The sequence below is a fragment of the Homo sapiens genome, chromosome 17 (genome assembly GCF_000001405.40).
Source record: "Homo sapiens chromosome 17, GRCh38.p14 Primary Assembly".
Classification (NCBI taxonomy): Eukaryota; Metazoa; Chordata; class Mammalia; order Primates; family Hominidae; genus Homo; species Homo sapiens.
In genome coordinates, this window is record NC_000017.11 from 47,822,035 (window position 1) to 47,842,979 (window position 20,945).

At 52.2% G+C, this 20,945-nt stretch overlaps 3 protein-coding genes across 10 annotated transcripts, besides 9 other annotated features; 1 reads left to right on the plus strand and 2 right to left on the minus strand.

Moving 5' to 3' along the window:
• Window positions 49-218: an enhancer, noted in NCBI's record as "active region_12317". NCBI's record gives its function as "activates an Ori minimal core promoter by ATAC-STARR-seq in GM12878 lymphoblastoid cells {active_cell/tissue: GM12878}" and the evidence as "EXISTENCE:reporter gene assay evidence [ECO:0000049][PMID:35858748]".
• MRPL10 (mitochondrial ribosomal protein L10) lies at window positions 1,238-9,507 on the minus strand. 4 transcript variants are annotated; one of them, NM_148887.3, is made up of 6 exons: window positions 9,426-9,507; window positions 7,105-7,202; window positions 6,467-6,636; window positions 5,006-5,170; window positions 4,603-4,747; window positions 1,238-2,424 (listed from the first exon to the last, which is right to left on the minus strand). In NM_148887.3, the coding sequence occupies exons 2-6, from the start codon at window positions 7,184-7,186 to the stop codon at window positions 2,171-2,173; spliced, it is 816 nt and encodes a 271-aa protein (NP_683685.1). In that variant the 5' UTR covers window positions 7,187-7,202; window positions 9,426-9,507; the 3' UTR covers window positions 1,238-2,170. The 4 variants fall into 4 exon arrangements, 3 of the variants coding, with proteins under 3 accessions (NP_683685.1, XP_024306343.1, NP_660298.2); XM_024450575.2 differs by having other exon boundaries at window positions 7,105-7,225; window positions 9,277-9,507; NR_037575.2 differs by lacking the exon at window positions 7,105-7,202 and having other exon boundaries at window positions 9,277-9,507.
• Window positions 8,089-8,920: an enhancer, noted in NCBI's record as "H3K27ac-H3K4me1 hESC enhancer chr17:45907489-45908320 (GRCh37/hg19 assembly coordinates)". NCBI's record gives its function as "activates a minimal SCP1, AML or CMV promoter by ChIP-STARR-seq in naive H9 embryonic stem cells {active_cell/tissue: H9 hESC(naive)}" and the evidence as "EXISTENCE:reporter gene assay evidence [ECO:0000049][PMID:30033119]".
• Window positions 8,921-9,750: an enhancer, noted in NCBI's record as "H3K27ac-H3K4me1 hESC enhancer chr17:45908321-45909150 (GRCh37/hg19 assembly coordinates)". NCBI's record gives its function as "activates a minimal SCP1, AML or CMV promoter by ChIP-STARR-seq in naive H9 embryonic stem cells {active_cell/tissue: H9 hESC(naive)}" and the evidence as "EXISTENCE:reporter gene assay evidence [ECO:0000049][PMID:30033119]".
• Window positions 9,213-9,272: a silencer, noted in NCBI's record as "silent region_8641". NCBI's record gives its function as "represses an Ori minimal core promoter by ATAC-STARR-seq in GM12878 lymphoblastoid cells {active_cell/tissue: GM12878}" and the evidence as "EXISTENCE:reporter gene assay evidence [ECO:0000049][PMID:35858748]".
• Window positions 9,513-9,672: a silencer, noted in NCBI's record as "silent region_8642". NCBI's record gives its function as "represses an Ori minimal core promoter by ATAC-STARR-seq in GM12878 lymphoblastoid cells {active_cell/tissue: GM12878}" and the evidence as "EXISTENCE:reporter gene assay evidence [ECO:0000049][PMID:35858748]".
• Window positions 9,636-15,685, plus strand: LRRC46 (leucine rich repeat containing 46). Its single transcript, NM_033413.4, has 8 exons — window positions 9,636-9,965; window positions 10,066-10,171; window positions 12,391-12,499; window positions 13,319-13,365; window positions 13,632-13,741; window positions 13,999-14,068; window positions 14,299-14,441; window positions 14,716-15,685. Exons 1-8 carry the CDS (start codon window positions 9,956-9,958, stop codon window positions 15,084-15,086), a joined length of 966 nt encoding a protein of 321 aa, NP_219481.1. The 5' UTR covers window positions 9,636-9,955; the 3' UTR covers window positions 15,087-15,685.
• Window positions 14,701-15,248: an enhancer, noted in NCBI's record as "H3K4me1 hESC enhancer chr17:45914101-45914648 (GRCh37/hg19 assembly coordinates)". NCBI's record gives its function as "activates a minimal SCP1, AML or CMV promoter by ChIP-STARR-seq in naive H9 embryonic stem cells {active_cell/tissue: H9 hESC(naive)}" and the evidence as "EXISTENCE:reporter gene assay evidence [ECO:0000049][PMID:30033119]".
• Window positions 15,658-19,239, minus strand: SCRN2 (secernin 2). 5 transcript variants are annotated; one of them, XM_017025286.2, is made up of 8 exons: window positions 19,174-19,239; window positions 18,636-18,809; window positions 18,157-18,338; window positions 17,410-17,609; window positions 16,757-16,972; window positions 16,497-16,662; window positions 16,302-16,416; window positions 15,658-15,968 (listed from the first exon to the last, which is right to left on the minus strand). In XM_017025286.2, the coding sequence occupies exons 2-8, from the start codon at window positions 18,807-18,809 to the stop codon at window positions 15,810-15,812; spliced, it is 1,212 nt and encodes a 403-aa protein (XP_016880775.1). In that variant the 5' UTR covers window positions 19,174-19,239; the 3' UTR covers window positions 15,658-15,809. The 5 variants fall into 5 exon arrangements, with proteins under 5 accessions (XP_016880775.1, NP_612364.2, XP_047292965.1 ...); NM_138355.4 differs by having other exon boundaries at window positions 16,236-16,416; XM_047437009.1 differs by having other exon boundaries at window positions 19,151-19,239.
• Window positions 18,708-18,807: an enhancer, noted in NCBI's record as "active region_12318". NCBI's record gives its function as "activates an Ori minimal core promoter by ATAC-STARR-seq in GM12878 lymphoblastoid cells {active_cell/tissue: GM12878}" and the evidence as "EXISTENCE:reporter gene assay evidence [ECO:0000049][PMID:35858748]".
• Window positions 18,708-19,266: a biological region, named in NCBI's record as "H3K4me1 hESC enhancer GRCh37_chr17:45918111-45918666".
• Window positions 18,711-19,266: an enhancer, noted in NCBI's record as "H3K4me1 hESC enhancer chr17:45918111-45918666 (GRCh37/hg19 assembly coordinates)". NCBI's record gives its function as "activates a minimal SCP1, AML or CMV promoter by ChIP-STARR-seq in naive H9 embryonic stem cells {active_cell/tissue: H9 hESC(naive)}" and the evidence as "EXISTENCE:reporter gene assay evidence [ECO:0000049][PMID:30033119]".

The window sequence follows — 20,945 nt, forward strand, 5'->3', positions numbered from 1 at the left end:
AAAGGATTTATTCAGACTAGCATGGCAGTGACCCTGTTAGTACCCAAGGCCAATTCCTAATTAACCCCCGCCCCCCGCCTCTCATTTTACATCTGAAAATAGACTGCAAAATTTGGAGCCAGCAAAAGTATCAGGTTGATGGTGGAGGGACAGATGCCCCCTCTGGGACCATAAGAGAGTGCCAAGAGCACAGTCAGCAGGGGCAGTCAAGCCAGGAAAGGGACAGCCAGCAGTCCCCACACTGAGGCCCTTCACTGGGGTGATGCCCCACTAGGTCAGGCCCCATGGAGATCTGAAAGTGCTTGTGTGTATGAAGACACCCCACAGCCTGCAGTCTCTGATCAGGAGCAGGCCTGGGGCAGTCACAGCTGCCGTTAAAAGGGCTGCAATGCTGGTCCCCTCCCTTCCCTTTACCCTTCTGCTGGAGTACTGTGCCCAGCTGCTCAATTCTAATGAAAAATCGGCTCTTAACAAAGATCTAAAATTCATTCAAATGAATGTGGCATAGACCTACAGTTTCAAGCGCAGCTAAGTTTTCTGGAAAGAAGTAGGTGGGGCCTCAGGTGAAGGATGTGATTCAAGTTTCTTCTCTGACCCCAAAAGTGACATGGGCCACTTATCCCTTCCACTTCATCCTCACCGAGCTTGGTTTACGTTTCAGGGTCTCACATATCTCTCGGGAACACCCACTGTCTTGCCTTTATTCAGAGCCTCAGTGCTGCTCCAGCCACCCCAGGAGGAGGGTGTTGTTAGCACCTGGCAGGGTTCTGGGAGGGACAGGAGCACTGGGCAGCACTGACCAGACAAGCTCTGGCATCCAGGAGCCTCAAGGGCCTTTTAAGCCACTTCCCAGTGATTGAACATCCCTGGGCATACAGCACAGGATGAGGCACTGGGGGAAGCTGGTCCTGGCCCAGGCCACAAAAGAGCTGCTGCAGGTCATCCCTGCCAGACAGTGCCTGTCCAAGACTAAGGAAGCGGTGGCATTGCTTCAAGTCCGAGAAGGAATGTTGAACAGCCACCTTCCCCGGGTCACCCCTGCATCCACCCAGAATGTGCTCCAGTCAAGGATGATGGTGGACTCTGAGTTAAGCATCCCGTCTCCTTTATTAGGAATTTCTGGTTCATGAAGACTTGCATGAGGCCTCCTACCCTAGAGCTCTCAGAATTCCCCATTAATAGAGAATCCTAGTTTTCCCGCAGGCCTTTTGTCCAGAACCACCAGAGACACGTTAGCTAGTGGGTACAGCTGTCAGCTGCCTTTAATAGGGCAAGCATGCGCGGGATGCCATTTGTGGGAACAGGTATAGGGGAAGAGGATTTTCCTAGGAAGGGAAGCAAGAGTGAGGAAAGTCAGATGACAGAGAAGCCCCTGAGAGTAAGTTTAGAGGGAGGACAACCGTGTAAACCACAAAATAAAGGAAGTAGAATATATTTCATTTTATTATAAAGCAGTGCTCCCAAACTTTTCACAGCGTACACCTCGAGGGTGGAGAACTAACATCCAAGCACACCTGGATGGTGGATGGGACCCACTTCTGGGTAACCTGATGAGGAAGCTCTAGTGAAGAAATTCAGGACGCGGTCTTCAGAGCAGAGGGCTTGGTTCAAGTCCCTGTTCTGCCACTTACTAACTGCATGACCTTGAGCAAGCCACTTAATTTCTCTGCTCCTTCTCTGTGAAATGGGTACAATGTGGTCAGCAGTAAAGGAACTAATACATGTACAGCACTCAGCACAAAGCCTGGCACACAGCAGGCTCTCACCAGGTGCCATTCTCAGCACAACTGCTTGGTTGAGCTACTGTGGCAGTGGCAGGTTGTGCCCCAAGGGGGTGGGCTCAGGAGCCCGTGCAGCAAGAGGCAGTGACCAAGGAGGCAGGGGACAATAGCCCTATCTTTTCAGGATCTCTGCCTTGGACCTGGAGAATGGAGAGACTTTGCTCCTATCACGTCCCAAGTTGGGAAAACTAAGGACGAAGCCGGTGACTGACATCTGAAATGGAATCCTCTGCATCTCCAAGTGGCCCTATACCTGACAATATCATTACTAGTGAAAACCAAGTGACAAACACACTCCCCGACCCCAAGTTCTTCCACATGTCCCATTGAGGAGAGCACAGCCAATAACGCAGAGTGTATTTATGCGCAGGGCTGGCTAAACAGGCTGGCTACGAGTCCGGAACAGTGTCAGGATCTGGCTTCCCATTGGCCGACATGACAGAATCCTTCTCGCGTTGCTCTCTGATGTACTGGTCCAACAGGGTGGTCAGCTGGAGGGGCTGGTGCTGGAGCAGGGAGTGGGTCTGGGCTGTGAGGCAGGTGAGGCCTCCTACAAGCTCCCCCTGCACCAGGGGCAGGCTGGGGAGCTTGGAGTAGTTGATAAAGCCCTGCCTGCTGAGGATGGTGTCATCAATGCAGCCACCTGGAAGAACACAGGGTCAGTTAGGCTCCTTGCAGATTGCCTTTCTTCTCTGAAAACAATATTCTGACCCTAGTAACTTGCTCTCCATTGCCCTTCTCAAAATCCTGCCTTCCCCAGGACCTGGGTTCCACTGTGCCCCACACCACACCCACTCTGCTTGGGATCGATCCCTACTTCTTCACTCTTCCCTCAGAAAACTCTTAATATATCCACCTGGCCCTGACCCCTATTAAGTCAGTGTTTCCTAAACTTCCTTGTAAATAAGAATCAGGCAGCCAGGTGTGGTGGCTCATGCCTGTAATCCCAGCACTTTGGGAGGCTGAGGCAGGCAGATCACCTGAGGTCAGGAGTTCAAGACCAGCCTGGCCAACATGGAGAAACCCCGTCTCTACTAAAAATACAAAAATTAGCCAGGCATGGTGGCGAGCGCCTGTAATCCAAGCCACTCGGGAGGCTGAGGCAGGAGAATCGTTTGAACCCGGGAGGTAGAGGTTACAGTAAGCTGAGATCGTGCCATTGCACTCCAGCCTGGGTGACAAGAGCAAAACTTCGTCTCAAAAAAAAAAAAAAAAAAAAGAATCAGGATGAGGTTGGGTACGGTGGCTCAAGCCTGTAATCCCAGCACTTTGGGAGACCAAGGTCGGTGGATCACCTGAGGTCAGGAGTTTGAGATCAACCTGGCCAACATGGTGAAACCCCGTTTCTACTAAAAATACAAAAATTAGCCAGGCATGGTGGCAAGCACCTGTAATCCCAGCTACTTGGGAGGCTGAGGCAAGAGAATCGCTTAAACCTGGGAGGCGGAGGTTGCAGTGAGCTGAGATCACGCCATTGCACTCCAGCCTGGGCAACAACTGCGAAACTCCGTCTCAAAAAAACAAAGAATCAGGCTGGGTGCAGTGGAAAACGCCTGTAATCCCAACACTTCAGGAGGCCAAGGTGGCATAATTGCTTGAAACTAGCAGTTCAAGACAAGCCTGGGCAACATGGTGAATACAAATACAAAAAATACAAAAATTAGCTGGACATGGTGGCATGCGCCTGTAGTCCCAGCTACTTAGGAAGTTAAGGTGGGAGGATGGATTAAGCCAAGGAGGTCCAGGCTGCTGTGAGCCATGACCGGACCACTGCACTCCAGCCTGGGCAATGGGAGTGAGACCCTGAATCATGGAATGGAGGGAAGTAACGGGGAACTATTGTTTAATGGGTGTAGAGTTTCACTGTTAGAAGACAAAACGTTCTGGAGATGGATGGTGGTGATGTTGCATAGCATTATGAATGTACTTAACACGGAACTGTACATTTAAAATGGTTAAGATGGTAAATTTTGTGTGTATTTTACAATTAAAAAATTGAATAAATATCATGGAGTGTTGAGGGGGTATTAAAATCACAGATTCACCAGGAGCGGTGGCTCATGCCTGTAACCCCAGCACTTTGGGAGGCTGAGGTGGCGGATCACCTGAGGTCAGGAGTTCAAGACCAGCCTGGCCAACACGGTGAAACCCCATCTCTACTAAAAATACGAAAAAAAAAAAATTAGCTGGGCGTGGTGGCAGGTGCCTGTAATCCCAGCTACTCAGGAGGCTGAGGCAGGAGAATTGCTTGAACCCAGGAGACAGAGGTTGCAGTGAGCTGAGACTGTGCCACCGCACTCCAGCCTAGGTGATAGAGTGAGACTCCATCTCAAAAAAAAAAAAAAAAAAAAAATCAGATTCCTGTCCCGCCCCCTCCCTACAGAGACCTGTGAAATCTGGATTTCCAAGGACATGTGCAGTATTCTCTGCCCCTTAAGTGAGTCAGCATCAGGGGAGTCTGGGAAACACTGGTCACTGGCCCTCGGCACCCTTTACTTGGGCTACTTGTATTAAATATCTTCATCTGTGAGGGTTTCAGCACCTACTACCCCACTGTTAGACTCAAGGTATCTAAATTTTCTCTCCCTGCTCCATGTCTGCCTTTCCTAGTCTTCCCTCCAGTGCAGAAGTGACCTGGGGTAGTGAGACAACACAGGTGTGGGAGTGACAGTCGGCCCTCAATAAATGTGCTGTTTACTCAGGCTCCATCCGTGAAAGGATGCTCTCTCCAAGAACGTTCACGGTTTTACCAAGACAAGCCTAGCAGATGGCAGCAGGCCCCTCTTCACCCCACCCCTAACTGGCAGGGGTGCTTGCTCACCTAGCAGCGGCAGGAATGGCACAGTCCTTAAGATCCGTACCATCTCCTTGACCTTGGGCTCTTCACTGACCAGCAGCATGTTGTGCCCCACAAAAAGGGGCAGCAGATTTTGGTACTTGGAATCCTCCAGGAAGGGCTTCAGGACCTGGGAACAGCAGGGAAAAATGGCTTATCGGGGACAAGTGGGAGGAAGAGCTACCTCGTGGGTCATGGGCCACATTAGGCTGAGGGTGCAACCCAAGGGTCTTCTCAGCCCCTAATCATAGGTTAGACACCAGATTAGAGGGTGACTCATGGAGAGGAGGAGTAAGAAGTATCATCACTGGGGAGCAGATGGTGAGGTCTGAGTCTGGTGGGGGTGGGGGGAAGATGGGCAACCCATGCCAAGGGGCCTGCTCCCTACCTGGTTGGGGAAGACCTTCATCAGGATCTTGTGTTTCCGCAGCTGGTGTCGCATAAGAAGCTTGTCCTCTGCACTCAGAGCCACATTCTGGCAGACGGCTATCATTCGGTTGTCCTGGAAAACTGCTGCTATCTCCCGGCGGAGAAGCCTGATGAGGCCTATCTCCTGAAGTTGGAAAGCAATGACCAAGGGTACATCAGCTGCCACTTCTCCTGGCAACGTTGCTCCCTCTGTGGTAGGTTCTAGGGCTTCCAGTGATGTCCAGATGTGCAAAAGATCGGGGAACAAGTAGGATAACTGGGCCTCTGACTCTCAGAGACATGTAACATCTCCCACTACTCTAACCTTTTCACTTTCATTAGATAATTGCAGTCTTTAGCAGTGTTTTTCAAACCTGAGGATGCTCAGATCCACTCCCCCGAAAACAGGCCTGCAGTCTGCCCTAGTCAACAGTGCTTGACAATAATATTGCTAAAATTATTTCAATTATCAATCTGACACTGTACTCATGTTGAATTATTTTGCCAATCATAAATATAACTCTTTTGCAGTGTTAGTTTAAAATTGAGAAACTTGGCTGGGCGCGGTGGCTCATGCCTATAATCCCAGCACTTCGGGAGGCCAAGGCAGGTGGATTGCTTGAGGTCAGGAGTTCGAGACCAGCCTGACCAACATAGCGAAACCCCATCTCTACTAAAAATACAAAAAATTAGCTGAGCATGGTGGCATGTGCCTATAATCCCAGTTACTCAGGAGGCTGAGGCAGAGAATCGCTTGAACCCAGGAGGCAGAGGTTGCGATGAGCCAAGAGTGTCCCACTGCACACCAACCTGGGTGACAGAGACTCTGTCTCACAAAAAAAAAAAAAAAAAAAAAAAAAAATGGCCAGGCAGGGTGGCTCATGCCTGCAATCCCAGCACTTTGGGAGGCCGAGGCAGGCAGATCACGAGGTCAGGAGATCAAGACCATCCTGGCTAACATGGTGACACCCTGTCTCTACTAAAGATGCAAAAATTAGTCAGGCATGGTGGTACATGCCTGTAATCCCAGCTACTCAGGAGGCTGAGGCAGGAGAATCACTTGAACCTGGGAGGCAGAGGCTGCAGTGAGCCAAGATCGCGCCATTGTACTCCAGCTTGGGCAACAAGAGCGATACTCCATCTCAAAAAAAAAAAAAAAGATTGGAGAGATACTCTCCCCAGCCCCACCTGCTAGGGTAGCTCTCACACACACATTTTTGGAGACAAGAAGGAAATTCAGGAGGCCCACCCAATCCAGAGCCCAAAAGCCAATACAGAATCAAGTGCGGATTTCATCTTAAAATATCTGGATCAGGCAGTCAAACTGAAATAATGACGTGCATGACAATGGCTGAGTGTCCTACTTCACTATGGCCAGAGACAAGATTACTTTAATCCACCATCCCACCACCAAGTGACATGTACCCAAATTCCTCCTTACCTCCTGTGGGGGGCTGGGAGGAGATGGCAGGCATGATGGGTGGATGGCTGGTTTCGGGGGGATATATTCAGTCACAGCCATCAGCTTCTGCCGCTGAAAGTGCATCACACGACGGTGGCGGGTAACAGCCTTGGAGCCATAGCGGACAGTCTGGAGGGTAGGCAGCCGGCCTGGGAGGGCATATAGCAACATGGTTAGAGGCAACCTCCTGGAGGCCCTAGTTTATCCCAAATGGAGAAAAAACACACCCTCTAGCAGAGAAAAGCACAGCTCACAGAGCTAGACTCAACACAAGAGTGGGACAAGGAATTGTCTGACAAAAGTCCTGAATTTCCAAAGCTTCTCTTTCAGTAAGTGACCCGAGGTCAATTACTTAATCTCTTGAGGCTACCATTTCTCTAGCTCTTCTCAATGTGCAGAAATGTGAGAAAAAAATGAGAACAAAGGAGAAAATATTTTGAACACATTAAGAAAAGTGGGGGCTGAGTGTGGTGGCTGACACCTGTAATTCCAGCACTTTGGTAGGCCGAAGCGGGCGAGATCACTTGAGGTCAGGAGTTTGAGACCAGCCTGGCCAACACAGTGAAACCCCATCTCTACTAAAAATACAAAAATTAGCCAGGTGTGGTGGTGTATACCTGTAATCCCAGCTACTTGAGAGGCTGAGGCAGGAGAATCGCTTGAACCCGGGAGGTGGAGGTTGCAGTGAGCCGAGATCATGCCACTGCACTCTAGCCTGGGCACAGAGTAAGACTCCGTCTCAGAAAAAAAAAGAAGGAAGGAAGGAAGGAAGGAAAGAGAGAGAGAGAGAGAGAAAGAAAAAGGGGATAAGGTTAAATAAACTTTTTCTTAAAATGGTCAAACAGTAAATATTTTAAGTTTGGGGCCCATGTAATCTGTCTCTAATGCTCAACTCTGCCAAAAGCAGCCACAGACAATATTTAAAGAGACAGCAGAAACTATGTACCAATAGAATTTTATAAAACACAGTGACTGGCCCTGCCATAATACGCCAACCCCTGGTCTAATCTAGTGGCTCTCAAGGTATGCCCCACCTCCACCCCAACCAGCAACATCAGCATCATTTGAGAGCTTGTTAGAAATTTTGCTGGGTGTGGTGGCTCACGCCTGTAATCCCAACACTTTGGGAGGCCAAGGTGGGCAGCTCACTTGAGGTCAGGAATTCAAGACCAACCTGGCCAACATGGTGAAACCCCGTCTCTAACTAAACTACAAAAATTAGCCAGGCGTGGTGGCACACACCTGTAGTCCCAGCTACTCAGGTGGCTGAGCCATGAGAATTGCTTGAACCCAAGAGGCAGAGGTTGCAGTGAGCCGAGATTGTGCCATTGCACTCCGGCACTCCGGCCTGGGTGACAGAGCAAGACTGTCTCAAAAAAAAAAAAAGAAAGAAAGAAAGAAAAATAAACATAAATTCTCAGGCCCTGCCTAGACCTACTGAATCAGCAATTCTGGGGTGGAGCCTAGCAAATAGTGTTTTTTGTTTGTTTTGTTTTGTAGAGACCAGGTTTCACTATGTTACCAAGACGGGTCACAAATAGTGTTCTAACAAGCCCTCCTGGTGATGCTGACGCATGCTAAAGTTTGAAAACCACCACTCTAACCGCTGCTCTGACACCCTGTCCTATGATTTGAAGAGGAGAAAAAAATGTTACACCATTCTCACAGCTCTCAGACAAGTTTCTCTTTCCTCCTCTCTTCCTGTTTACAGATAATGCTACAGAGCACCCCACAGAAAACAAGGGAGGCACTCAAAAGCCCTGAGACAAAGTGACCACTTAATCCTCAACACAAGGGCCAAGACTAGAACTTCCCACTTTCAGTCATTTCCAAGACTGGGATGTGACCTCAGAAAAAGGTCCAGATAGAAGGCGGCTCTAACAGTCAGAGAGTATGGATATTTGCTGGGGTAAGAGGTCTTATTGCCAGCAGCCACAAAACCTAACTGTTAAGACTGCAGGCAGGCTTTGGAATCAAATTAAACTGGATTTTTTTTTTTTTTGAGATGGAGTCTCGCTCTGTTGCCCAGGCTGGAGTGCAGCAATGCGATCTCGGCCCACTGCAACCTCTGCCTCCTGGGTGTAAGCGATTCTCACGCCTCAGCCTCCTGAGTAGCGGGGACTACAGGCACGCGCCACCACACCCGGCTCATTTTTGTATTTTTAGTAGAGTTGGGGTTTCGCCATGTTGGCCAAGCTGGTCTCAAATTCTTGACCTCAGGTGTTCCCTCCGCCTCAGCCTCCCAAAGTGCTGGGATTACAAGCGTGAGCCACCGCGCCCAGCCGAAACTGGATTTTAATCTCTCTTCCGCCAATTACTAGCTGTGACCTTGGCCACCCAACTGGTCTGAACTTCAGTTGCTGCGTCTGTAAAGAGGAGATGCGAATGTCTTTCTCACAGGGTGCTTTAGATTTAAATGATTTAAAAGATTTAAATGAGCTAACACATATAAAAATAGTTATCACAGTGCCTGGCCTATATTAAGTGCTCAAATCCATTCACTAAACAAATATCTACCGCACGCTTACTAACATCCAGCACCATGCCACCTGCTGGCTATGCTGAATGAACATGGTTCTGCCCTTGCGGAGTTTAATAGAGGAAACAAGCAACTAAACAAATGCAAAATTACAGATTGCGACGGGGCTAAGGAGTCAAGGGAAGACCTGAGGTGACATTTAGACTGACACATTAAGATGGAGACATAATGCAAAGGTCTGGGCGAGGAGTGGTCCAGGCAAAAGAAACGCTGGAGACAGACAACATCTGGACGTTGTTGCTGTGATTACCAGTCGAGTCACAAGGAACTGGACGGGGTAAGGAGGCCAGCGATCTAGCTGGGGTCAGAGATTATGGGAAGAATCAGTAGTAGAGGAGGGCAGATGAGGACTAGAGAGCGGCCGCAAGACACGCCGTGAGGACCTGGGCCACTCCTTACCCGCCTGGGGCAGGAGACCCCCTCGCAGCATCCCCGCCACGGCCGCAGCCATCTCCACCGGAAGAATGGACGGAAGCCGAGTGGAGACGGAAAGAGCTAAGGATTGTGGGGTAGCGAACCCCGGGGCCGGAAGCAGTGGGCGTACCCGCCGGCTGTAGCCGTAAGACGCATGCGCTAGGCCGGGCCAACGGAGCCCGCCTTTACCTCCCCACTCGGCGTCCAGTCTCTTAGCAACGACTCCGGCTTCCTAGGAACTGCTCCTTTCTCAACCATTCCTGCCCACAACACCCCAGCTTGCTGCCAGCAAAGCCCCTCCACACCCCTCAAACTCCAGACCCTTCACATCAATTTACTGTTTTCTTCGACCTCACCCCAGCAATTTTCTCTGAATCAACCCCCTTTCCTCCTCTCCTAAGTCTCTGAGTTTCTCTCTCCTCCTGCCATCCTGAGTTCTGCCATCCTTAGGGGCCGCCAAGACCTCTCTTTTCGTTCCTCTCCCGCCTCAGACCAGCAGCCTTTTATTTTAGATCATGTCTGGAGGTGAGTAGGGAGGTGGGACGGTGGGTAGAGCAGTTGGAAAACAGCGGGGTAAGGCCTCCAAGAGTGAGGAAGTGTCACAGTTGGACTCATCTTTTCACAGGGAAGTCAGCCCAGGGTCCAGAGGAAGGGGGCGTCTGCATCACTGAAGCCCTTATCACTAAGCGGAACTTGACTTTCCCTGAAGATGGGGAACTGTCAGAGAAGATGTGAGTGCATGGGGGAGAAAAGGGGTGCTAGAAGGCTGAAACACTCAGGATGACCAGGTCCCTGACGTGTACTGATTTGTCAACTGATCTTTGTTTCTCTCCTTACTCCACACATTCAATCAGTGGTAATGCCCAGCTGATTTTCCCTTCTTCAAAATAATTCCATTTCTTTTTCACCATCCTCACTCAACTGTCTTAGATAAGGCCGTGTTCACCTCTCTCCTACACACCCACCACTTTGGGAGGCTGAGGCAGGAGGATCACTTGAGCCCAGGAGTTTGAGACCAGCCTGGGCAATAGAGACAGAATCCTATCTCTAAAAAATAAAAATAAACTAGCTGAGCATGGTGGTGCACACCTGTAGTCCTAGGTGGCTGAGACAGGAGGATCACTTGAACCCAGGTACCTGTGGCTGCAGTAAGCTATGATCATGCCATTGCATGCCAGCCTGGGCAACAGGGTGAGACCCTATTTCTAAAACAAACAAAAAGTAAAGTATTTTTAATTACTTTTTTAGAGATGGGGTCTTGCTCTGTTGGCCAGACTGGTCTTGAACTCCTCAAACAATCCTCCCACTTCAGCCTCCTGAGTAGCCAAAGTGATCCTTTTAAATAACAAATCTAATCAGGCATTCACTGATAGAAACTTCCTCCCAAATAAATCCCAATGCCTAAGCATGAGTTGACTTCTGCTTTTCAGCCTTATTTCTGGCCACTCTCCACAAGTGTACAATTTCCCACACTGTGTACTCACACCTTAGTACCTTACTACTCAGAGTATGTGTGGATGGGAGGGGGTGCAGGGGTAGGACAGCAGCATTGGCATCACAGGGGGCTTGTTAGAAGTGGAGCATCTCAGCCCCTCCACCCGATCTACTGAATTAGAATCTGCATGGGCATATTGGAGTTTCGGAAGGGCTGTATTAGCATGTACTATTCCTTCTGCTTGAAATGCCTTCTCCCCATATCCCCCCACCTTCATGGCTAATGCCTACTCATCTGTCACCTCCTCTAGGAAGCATTCCCTGATTCCTCCTACTGTGAATTTAGTGCACAGCCTATGTACTCCCTTTGTCCCCTGTACTTGCTTCTGTTATCCACTTGTCAGGGATGTTTGGCCTTATTCTTTCTTTCTTTCTTTCTTCTTCCTCTTCCTCCTTCTTTCCCTTCTTCCTCCTCCTTCTTCCTTTCCCCTGTACTTGCCTCTGTTATCCACTTGTCATAGATGTTTGGCCTTCTTCCTATTTTTTTTTTTTTTTTTTGAGACGGAGTCTCACTCTGTTGCGCAGGCTGGAGTGCAATGGTGTGATCTCGGCTCACTGCAACGTCTGCCTCCTGAGTTGAAGCGATTCTCCAGCCTCAGCCTCCCGAGTAGCTGGGACTACAGGTGTGCGCCACCACACCCGGCTAATTTTTTTTGTATTTTTAGTAGAGATGGGGTTTCACCATGTTAGCCAGGCTGGTCTTGAACTCCTGACCTCAGGCAATCCACCCACCTCGACCTCCCAAAGTGCTGGGATTACAGTGAGCCACCTCGCCCAGCCTCTTTTTTTTTTTTTTTTATGACATAGGGTCTTGCTCTGTCACCCAGGCTGAAGTGCAGTGGCATAATCATGGCACACTGCAGCCTCGACCTCCTGGGCTCGAGCGATCCTCCTGCCTCGGCCTCCCAAAGTGCTGGGAGTACAGGGTAAGCCACCATGGTCAGCCTGCCCTGCTTCTTTATTAGTGGTGGGCAGAGACTCTGTCATTTGTCTCTAGTAGGCACTCAGCAATGTTGTGGAATGAATGAATGGGTGGATGGAACAAGTGCTTTTTTCTCCATGAACGACTCAAAAGGAAGGTGAGGAAGGATCTTTCTGCAGTGTCTCATCTCTGTCCCACCCCTGCCTCCACCATCCAAGCTGGCCAGAGGAAGGTTTCTCTTGCCTCTGAATCTCTCCAGAAACCATAAGCTGCCATCCCCCAATTTCCCAGAGGGCCCTTACTCCTCTCTCTCACCCTTCCCAGTGCTAACAATAGAGATACGAGTCTGCAAGTCAAGCCGGTTTCATGATCTAGACACCACCTCAAGATGTCAAGATGTTTCTCACATCTGATTAAAATGACTCAGCCAACTACCCCTCCTTGAAACCCCTTCCCTCCTCCGTCTCCCATCCTCCCTGCTAAGAGACCACATGAGTGGTGCTCTAACACCACCCTTACTGACTCTTTTCCCAGGTTTCACACTCTTGATGAACTGCAGACTGTCCGCCTGGACCGGGAGGGGATTACTACTATCAGGAACTTAGAAGGCCTCCAGAATCTTCACAGTCTCTATCTGCAAGGGGTAACTTCTTTCTCCACCCTTCCCCTCCCCTTGACCCCTGTGGACCTAATCTGTCTCATCTGAAAGGAGCCAACCAGGTCATCCTGCCCATTCCCTGGTGTTCAGGCAGGCAGACCTTCATTTAAACCATTCCCAGACGAATGACATAGGGTCCTGAATTGAAAAACTAATTCCCTCAAAATAGATCCTGAACATGACCTGTGCTCCTTCCACTGTTCTTTAGGCACTTCTCTTGATCTAGAAGTTCTTTTTGGCATCTACTCTAAATCTTTCACGTTAAATAGCTCCAGCCCATTTCCTGTTTTGAAGAAGAGGAAACTATGAAGATTCCTGTACATCATTCAGATCCTACTTGAAGGCTGTTTGGTGGTGGTGGTGGTGGTTGGTTGATCTTCAGCCTTCCCCTGGTTGAGTATTCCCAGCTCGCTTCAACTTTCCCCATAGAAACTTTAACCGTCAAGTTCCTGTATGCTCATTGTTCTCTCTGTGTATGCAAGCCACCACCAAGGCCCTTTCCGTTTTCCTGGTGGCTTCTTAGTTTCCTTTTCTGATTCCCAGGTCACTCTTTGGTTGTGGAATCAGAAGAGTATACGTAGTCAGGTTTAGATACCCCAGGTTTACACCCTTAACCATCCACATGGGGAAAGAAAATCATCTTTCTTAAGGTAGTGGCAACCTGTTCAAGGAGTGGGGTGATCATTCCCAAAGTGCCAGATCTCCAGCTGCAGAGTAGACATGGTCTTGGGGCTTTGTCCCCGTAAAGGGCCCCTGACGCATCTGATCTCAGCTTGGTTTCCCCACTTCGGTTTCTTCTTGCAGAATAAGATCCAGCAAATTGAGAACCTGGCTTGCATCCCCTCCTTGCGGTATGTGGTGCCAGGGCTCAGGCAGGGGAAGAGGGGTTGGGGGAACCTAGCCATATCCCAAAGAACTGGTTCAGATTTCTCCAAGCCTGGGTCCTTGTCAGTCAAGGACCAGCAAGCCTAGATCTACTCCCTCACCCCAGAAGGCCATGTGTCCCCACTGGTCATCAGCTGCCTAGCCCAGGGGCCCCGGTGTCAGGTGCCCTCCTCTTTTCTTCCAGCTGTTCCATGATTCAGCTCTGCCTCTGTACCCCTTCCTTCCCCTACAGCTTCCTGTCTCTGGCAGGAAACCAAATCAGGCAGGTGGAAAACCTCCTCGACCTCCCATGCCTCCAGTTTCTGGACCTTTCTGAGAACCTGATAGAAACATTGAAGCTGGGTAGGAACCCACTCGCCCTGGCTCACCAAACACATCCCCTGTGGGGCCTGCCCTCCCCTCTGCACCCATCTGCCCATGCTTCTATTAGCCATGCCCCTGCAGGTCCACATTTCATCCTCAGGGAGTTCAAGGGGTTGTGCCTAGAGGTACTGGCTTTGGACTAGAAAGTGGGTATGAGAACCCCATTCCCATCGCTTCATGGTCTTTTGGCTAAGATCAAGTGAGAACCCCATTTCCTCTCTCTTTGCTGTGTGCAGATGAGTTCCCCCAGAGCCTTCTCATCCTCAACCTGTCTGGAAACAGCTGCACCAACCAGGATGGCTACCGGTAAGGAGTGGAGGGTGGGAAGAAAGGTCATGGCTGAGCTCTACCTGCTAACTCAGCCCAGACCCCTCTCAGCCTGCAAACCTGGGGTCCTGTCCATGACACCTTCTCCCCCACCTCCTACCTAGCTCATGAGCCACCACCCCTCCGGGTGTGAGTGCTGTGGTGCGTGTCTTTGCATCCTCCACGCCAGGGTGCCCTCCTGGGTAACCTCTGCTCCTTCTGCTCTGCAGCGAGCTGGTGACAGAAGCCCTGCCACTTCTCCTGGACCTGGACGGGCAGCCTGTGGTGGAGCGCTGGATTTCGGATGAGGAGGATGAAGCCTCAAGCGATGAGGAGTTCCCAGAGCTGAGTGGCCCATTCTGCTCAGAACGAGGTGACCCTGCTTTCCAAGGTTTTCAGCCTCCCCAGAGCCCACCTCTGCCCTGTGGGACATGAGGGAAGCTAAGGTGGCAGTGGCGTCCGGGGAGGGGAGCCCCAAGTTCAGATCAACATCTGGGCCAGAGCCAGGTGTCAGTCCTGGGCCCCAGCCTCAGGCTCCTTCCCACAAGGGACAAGGGGCCAGCCAGAGACTTCCCTGAGCCCAGGGACCCTCCTGCTGAGCCCAGGGCTCCACCCACCCTGTACCCTCCACCCCCGGCCCCTCCCAGGCTTCCTCAAGGAGCTGGAGCAGGAGCTGAGCAGGCACAGGGAGCACCGGCAACAGACGGCCCTGACAGAGCACCTGCTGAGGATGGAGATGCAGCCCACCCTCACCGACCTGCCCCTGCTACCTGGGGTGCCCATGGCTGGGGACAGCAGCCCTTCTGCCACTCCTGCGCAAGGGGAGGAGACAGTCCCTGAGGCCGTCTCCTCACCCCAGGCCTCCTCTCCCACCAAGAAACCATGCAGTCTGATTCCCAGGGGCCACCAAAGCTCTTTCTGGGGAAGGAAGGGGGCACGAGCAGCCACAGCCCCCAAGGCCTCTGTGGCTGAGGCCCCCAGCACAACCAAAACTACGGCCAAGAGAAGCAAGAAATGATTCTCTGTCAACCTTTCTCTACTAGTGGAGAGGAGTGGGGCCTGCCCCTCTTCTCAGACCTCTGACCTGTGACAGAAGCCCATCCCCAGTAAAGTGTCTCTAGGCCCTGAGTATGCTTTTCATGTCACTTGGGGTATCTCAGGGGAAGAAACCAGTGAAAGCTCCAGGAAACAAAATACAGAGCTCAGTGAGCCACCTGATTCTAAAGAGCGAGTCTGGAATCTTTCGGGAGCTACCCACAGGGCAGGCATGCCTCAGGCCCCCGCTGGCTTCCTGGCTCCCACTTGGGCAGGAAGCGGGCACCACCTCATGGAAGAGGCATGCCATCTCACTGCCACCCCTAGCGAGTGCCCTTCCCCGGTCCAAGCCAAGGACCAAGGAGCTGTGGTCCTAGTCATCCCCAACAGCAGCCAGCTCCTGTCCCCTCCCTGTCCTCCTGCCCAGTCCCCATCACTCACCCACTCATAGGAATGAGTACACAACCACAGGCCCCGCAGCCAGCCCACAGCTGCCTTTGGGCCTCACTTGGCTCTCCCACCCCCACTGGTCCTGGGATAAAGTTCACTGAAGAGAAAATAAAGCACATTTATTAAGGCAAAGGCCAAGCTGGCCGCTCAGAACATGGCCAAGGAGCGTGAAGGGATTGCTCCACTTTACCACCACTCAGGGCACCCAGGCCCCAGGGGTCCTGGGTCCACCCCAGGCCAGCAGAAGCTATGAAGCTTACGCATAAGCCTGGCTCTCCCTCTTCACGAAGGCCTGGAAGAGGCTGCCCAGCTCCCAGAGGGGTGGGGCCCACTCGCCGGCCAGCAGCCCCTGTGTGGCCTCGAGGCCTTCCTGCTCCAGATCCTGCTGTTTCTGCTGGAGCTGCTGCCCCCGATCCTGCCCCAAGGGAAAGCTGAGATGAGTCTGTCCGGGACAGGCTTCCCGCCAGGTGAAGGGGGGACTGTGTACCACCTCACACAAGCAGGAGAAAGGAGATACCCCCCGACATTCCCCAAAGGCAGTTGCTGGCTTTGAAGGGAGGAACTCCTCTCCCCAGCTCTGAAATCTCTTCCACTCCCTAGTTCCTTCATATTTCCAGAGTCCCACTGGGAGTGGGGGAGGTCTATCATCCCCTCAAGGTAGCCCCTACTCCCTGGGGGATACCTGATCTCTCTCCATCAGCCCCAGGGCTGCCTGGTGTCCACGGTAGAGGGTATGCCGACGATCTACCTGAGTCTGGAATCGGGGCAGGGTCCGAACAGGGTCTTGTGCTCCAAAAGTGGGGGACAGCACCTGGGGGGCCTGGGCCACCCCCATCCCGAAGATGAAAGGTTTGAACACAGACCTAGAGGGGCACAGATGGAAGCACGGAGATATATCAGATCCTCTCTTCTCCCCAGCCTTCCCCACCCTCATTCTTCCCACCTGGATGGGTCTGGCGTGGCGGTAAGAAAGTGCACGCAGGGCTGCGTGGGATCCTGGGGCAGGACAGACACCATGCTGGCCGTGGTGCGAAAGCCTCCCGAGTCCATACAGATACCACTCTCCTTGTCTCTGAGGATGCCCATCATCACCTCTGCCGTGATGCCCCCTGCCAAGGAGTAGAGGGGGAAGCTGTGGGAGGGGAGAGTGGCTGGCACTGCTGTGGCCCTCCTGGCCCCCAGCCCCCTCCACCGTTCACTAACCTTGCCGTTGCCGCAGCAGCTCCCGCCCTGCCTGGAAGCGGGCCTTGGCAGCCTCCATGCGCACAGGCTGCTGGGTCAGGGAGAAGATCTGAGCAAAGTCAAAGGCACCCTGCCCATCCCACCAGCCCTTGGCCTGGGCATGAGTCCGCAGCTCCGGGTGTTGGGCCGAGATGTCCGTGCCAATGCTCAGCTGGTTGGAGATGTTGCGGGCCCCCTCTGTGGAGGAGATCGGGGAGTGGTTCATTTACCATTGAGCATCTATTCTATGCCAGGCACTGGGCGAGGTGCTGAGAACATGGTGGAGAAGAGAACTACCTACCCTCATGGAGCCTACGTTTTGGTGGGGGAGGCAGACAAAATAATCACAGAGATAAATGTAAGCATGCAACTGTGTTGAATGCGATGAAAAAGAAGTACCTGCTTGCATATAAGCAGGAAACCTGACCACCCAGGGAAGTCCAGGAAGGCTTCCCAGAGGAAGCAACAGGCTGTAGCACACGGAAGACTTAACCAAGTGAAGGGGAGGAGAATTCCCAAGTGGGCTCATCTCCCATCTCCCTGGATGTCCTGACAGGCTTGCACCTGGATCGGGCCCCTCCCTGCCCCTACCATCTCTCCCACTTCCCAAAGCTGGGAGAAAGGGAACACCTCACCCTGGATCCTCTGTGCAGCCCAGAGCCTCCCAGCTGTCTCCAGCACCCACGCCTCAGTGCGGTCAGCCAGCAGGAAGGTGCTATGGTAGGAGAATGGCGCAGCATCCTCCAGGCAGTTGCCCCCCTGCCCATAGTGCTCCAGTAACCCTGTGATCACATGCAAGGCCTCCTGGGCAGAGCTGCTCCGTTCCAAAGCCAGCCTGGCAAAAGAGAGGGCCAAGGGACAGAAGGGTGACAGAGGGATCAATGGCTGGTGGCAGAAGCTCCAGGGGACAGAAGAGGCCCGGAGAGGTTTGGTGATAGGCCCAAGTCACACAGCAAATCTGCTGGCACTGATCGTATCAAATGCAATTATGCCAGTGGCTTTCAATGCTCTGGTTCCATGTGCTATGCTTTGAGGGTTCCATGAAAAGGCCTGAAACACAGTTTCAGAGAGAGAAGTGTCCTGAGCCCCTAACCTCTCTCCACCCAGAGCTGCTCCATCCACTATTACTGGTTTTATAAATTGGGACTCTATGTAAGATTTCAACTGAAAATAAATAAATAACCACTGCTCTATTTCTGGGCCAGGAGAGGCCCAAAGGTGGCTGCTGCTGCAGCCTTCTTCACGAAGGCACAAGGGCAAAGTCTGCAGAGAGGAGGAGGCCCCTGTGAACCAGGCTGGGGGAGGGATGGATGGGCCCAGGTCAAAACTCAGCCCCTAGATTTCTGGTGTGTCAGGCAGATGAGGAAGGGCAGGGTCTGCACCTGAGTAGGTCCATGCCCAGCAGGGCTTCCCCCTCCCCAACTGGCTCCTTCGTCCACACAGCCTCGTTGCCAATGCAGACACCATGCTCGTTGGCGCCCATCTCAGCCCCCCATAGCCAAGAAGGACGGCTCAGAATCACAGCGTGCGTCTTCGACACCTGTTCCACTTCAATGTAGGTGCACTGGAGGTGAGGGAGGAGAAAGGAAGCGTCCACTCATAGAGGGGCGGCCCCTCGAGTGTGGCACTCTGCCAATTACCTTATAGATCCCTTTGAGGAAGGTCTCATTCCCATTTTACAGAAGAGGAAACTGAGGTAGACTGAGGCTACATAATGAGCTCAGGTCCAGGTTGGTAGACCTAAAGCTCATGCTCTTCCACTACTTCTGGCAGCCTCCCAGGTGTGGGGAGCAGGGAAGAAGGTCTTAAAAGAATGCAGAGATCTGCCACACCTCCCAGCACCCCATAAAGTCTAACCCACCTGGAGCCGGCTCCCAGGAGTGTGAGTGCCTGCGGGGACAAACACCACCTCCTGCACCTCGTCCCGGGGTCGGTCCGAGTTCTTGGCAAAGATCACAGCCGGGATGGCTGAGGCCGGGGGCACGGAGACAAAGCAGTCGCAGGAACATGGGGAGTCAGGGCTCGACGACGCCATCTGGGGAGAGGCGGGCCTCTCCATAACCCTGGCCACGGCTCAGCCCCGAGGAGCAGCCTACCCCCACACGTGTAAAAGACGCGCAAGGAAGACACCGCCGTGGCTCCTGGACGCTCGGCGCACACACCATGGACGGGTGTGCGGGAACGGAGGTGCCCACCCTCTCCCCAGGCTCCAGGCTTGGGAGTCCGCAGGCGGGCACTCCGGGGGTCCCGCCCCCACTGGGAGTCCCGGCCCTTCGGAGCAGTCGTGGGACCGTCCCCCTCGCTACCCCACCAAGAGTCCTGCGGCCCTGCGCATGCCCAGATACCCGACCCTCTTCTGTCCAACCCTTCTCTCACCCCCAGTACTGTATTCCCCTCACCCTCTCTTCCTCCAAGACCCCAGCTCGGTCCCGGGTGCCACCTCCTCCGCTTCTGGCCAGGGCCGCCCCATTGGGCGGAGACTCTCAGGTGACCTGGAAGGCCTTCGGCCTCGGGGTCGGAGCCGGAACGGAGCCTGCAGCTCCGCCGTTTTCCACCAGGGCGCGCGCCTGCACCACTTCCCGGAGCAGAGCGGCCTTGCGAGTCCCACCTGGCTCCCTGTCCTACCCAGGCGCCCATTTGAGGCCTGACAAAGGCTGCTAACCCCACGGAGTCACTGCGGGGAGCTGGAGCTGGGGGTGGAAAGGATCCCGCGTGAAAAGGGAGACTTTGTCAGAGAAAGGGGACTGCTGGGACATCTGGAGATTAAGGAAGAACCTCAGATACTTGAGTCCTGGTTTGAATCCCAGAGGCGCAATCCCAGGCTGGAGGCGCCTAGGGGAATAAGATACAGAATACGAGAGTGGTGGAGGCTGGGTGCGGGGGGCTCGCACCTGTAATCCCAGCACTCTGGGAGGCGGTGGTGGGAGGATCACTTGAACCCAGGAGTTCAACACCAGCCTGGGTAACACAGCAAGACCTCGCCTCTACAGAAAATATTTTAAAATTAGCTGGGCGTGGTGGTGCGTGCCTCTAGTCCCAGCTGCTCTGAAGGCTGAGGTGGGAGGATCTCTTGAGCCAGAGAGATTGAGGCTGCAGTGAGCCAAGATCACACCGCGGTACTCCAGCCGCGGTGACAGAGCAAGACCCTGTCTCTTAAAATAAATAAATAAGGGAAAGTGTGCACAAAACCCATCTGATCCCAGAGGACCTATCTGTCTGATAGTGCTCAAACCCATAGGAAGATCGCTTTAAAGGGAAATTTAGAACTTTCTAGTTCAAAGATTTGGTGCCTTTACCTGTAGTGAAACTGAAACCACAAAGAAGTCTTGGCCAAAGGTGACACACAGTCATGTGGAGGTACACTCTGATCCCAAATGTTTTGATTTTCAGTTCATTTTTCTCTACAAACCATCTCTCCATAGCCATCATTAAGACAAATGCATCTTACACCCTTTTGCTCTGTGGAGCCCTCCAGAATGGAGAGAGGGGAGATGCTGCAGGTTATCTGCTTCTAGGGGTTGCACTGAATCTATAGATGGCTTTGAGTAGTATGCACATTTTAGCAATAGTAATTCTTCCAATCCGTGAGCATGAAATATCTTTCCATGTCTTTGTGTCTTCTTCAGTTTCTTTCATCAATATCTTATTTTCAGAGTACAGATCTTTCACCTCTTTGGTTAAATTTATTCCTAAATATTTTATTATTTTGGTAGCTATTGTAAATGGGACTATTTTCTTGATTTCTTTTTTGTATAGTTTGTTATTAGTGTATAGGAACACTATTGACTTTTGTACATTGACCTTGTATCCTCTGACTTTACTGTATTTGCTTAACAATTCTAACAGTGGGCCGGGTGTGGTGGCTCATGCCTGTAATCCTAGCACTTTGGGAGGCTGAGGTGGGCGGATCCCCTGAGGTTGGGAGTTCAAGACCAGCCTGGCTCACGTGGAGAAACCCCATCTGTACTAAAAATACAAAATTAGCCAGGCGTGGTGGCACATGCCTGCAATCCCAGCTACTTGGGAAGACTGAGGCAGGAGAATCGATTGAACCTGGGAGGCGGAGGTTGCGGTGAGCTGAGATCGCGCCATTGCACTCCAGCCTGGGCAACAAGAGCAAAACTCCGTCTCAAAAAAAAAAAAAAGAAAGAAAGAAAGAAAGAAAACAATT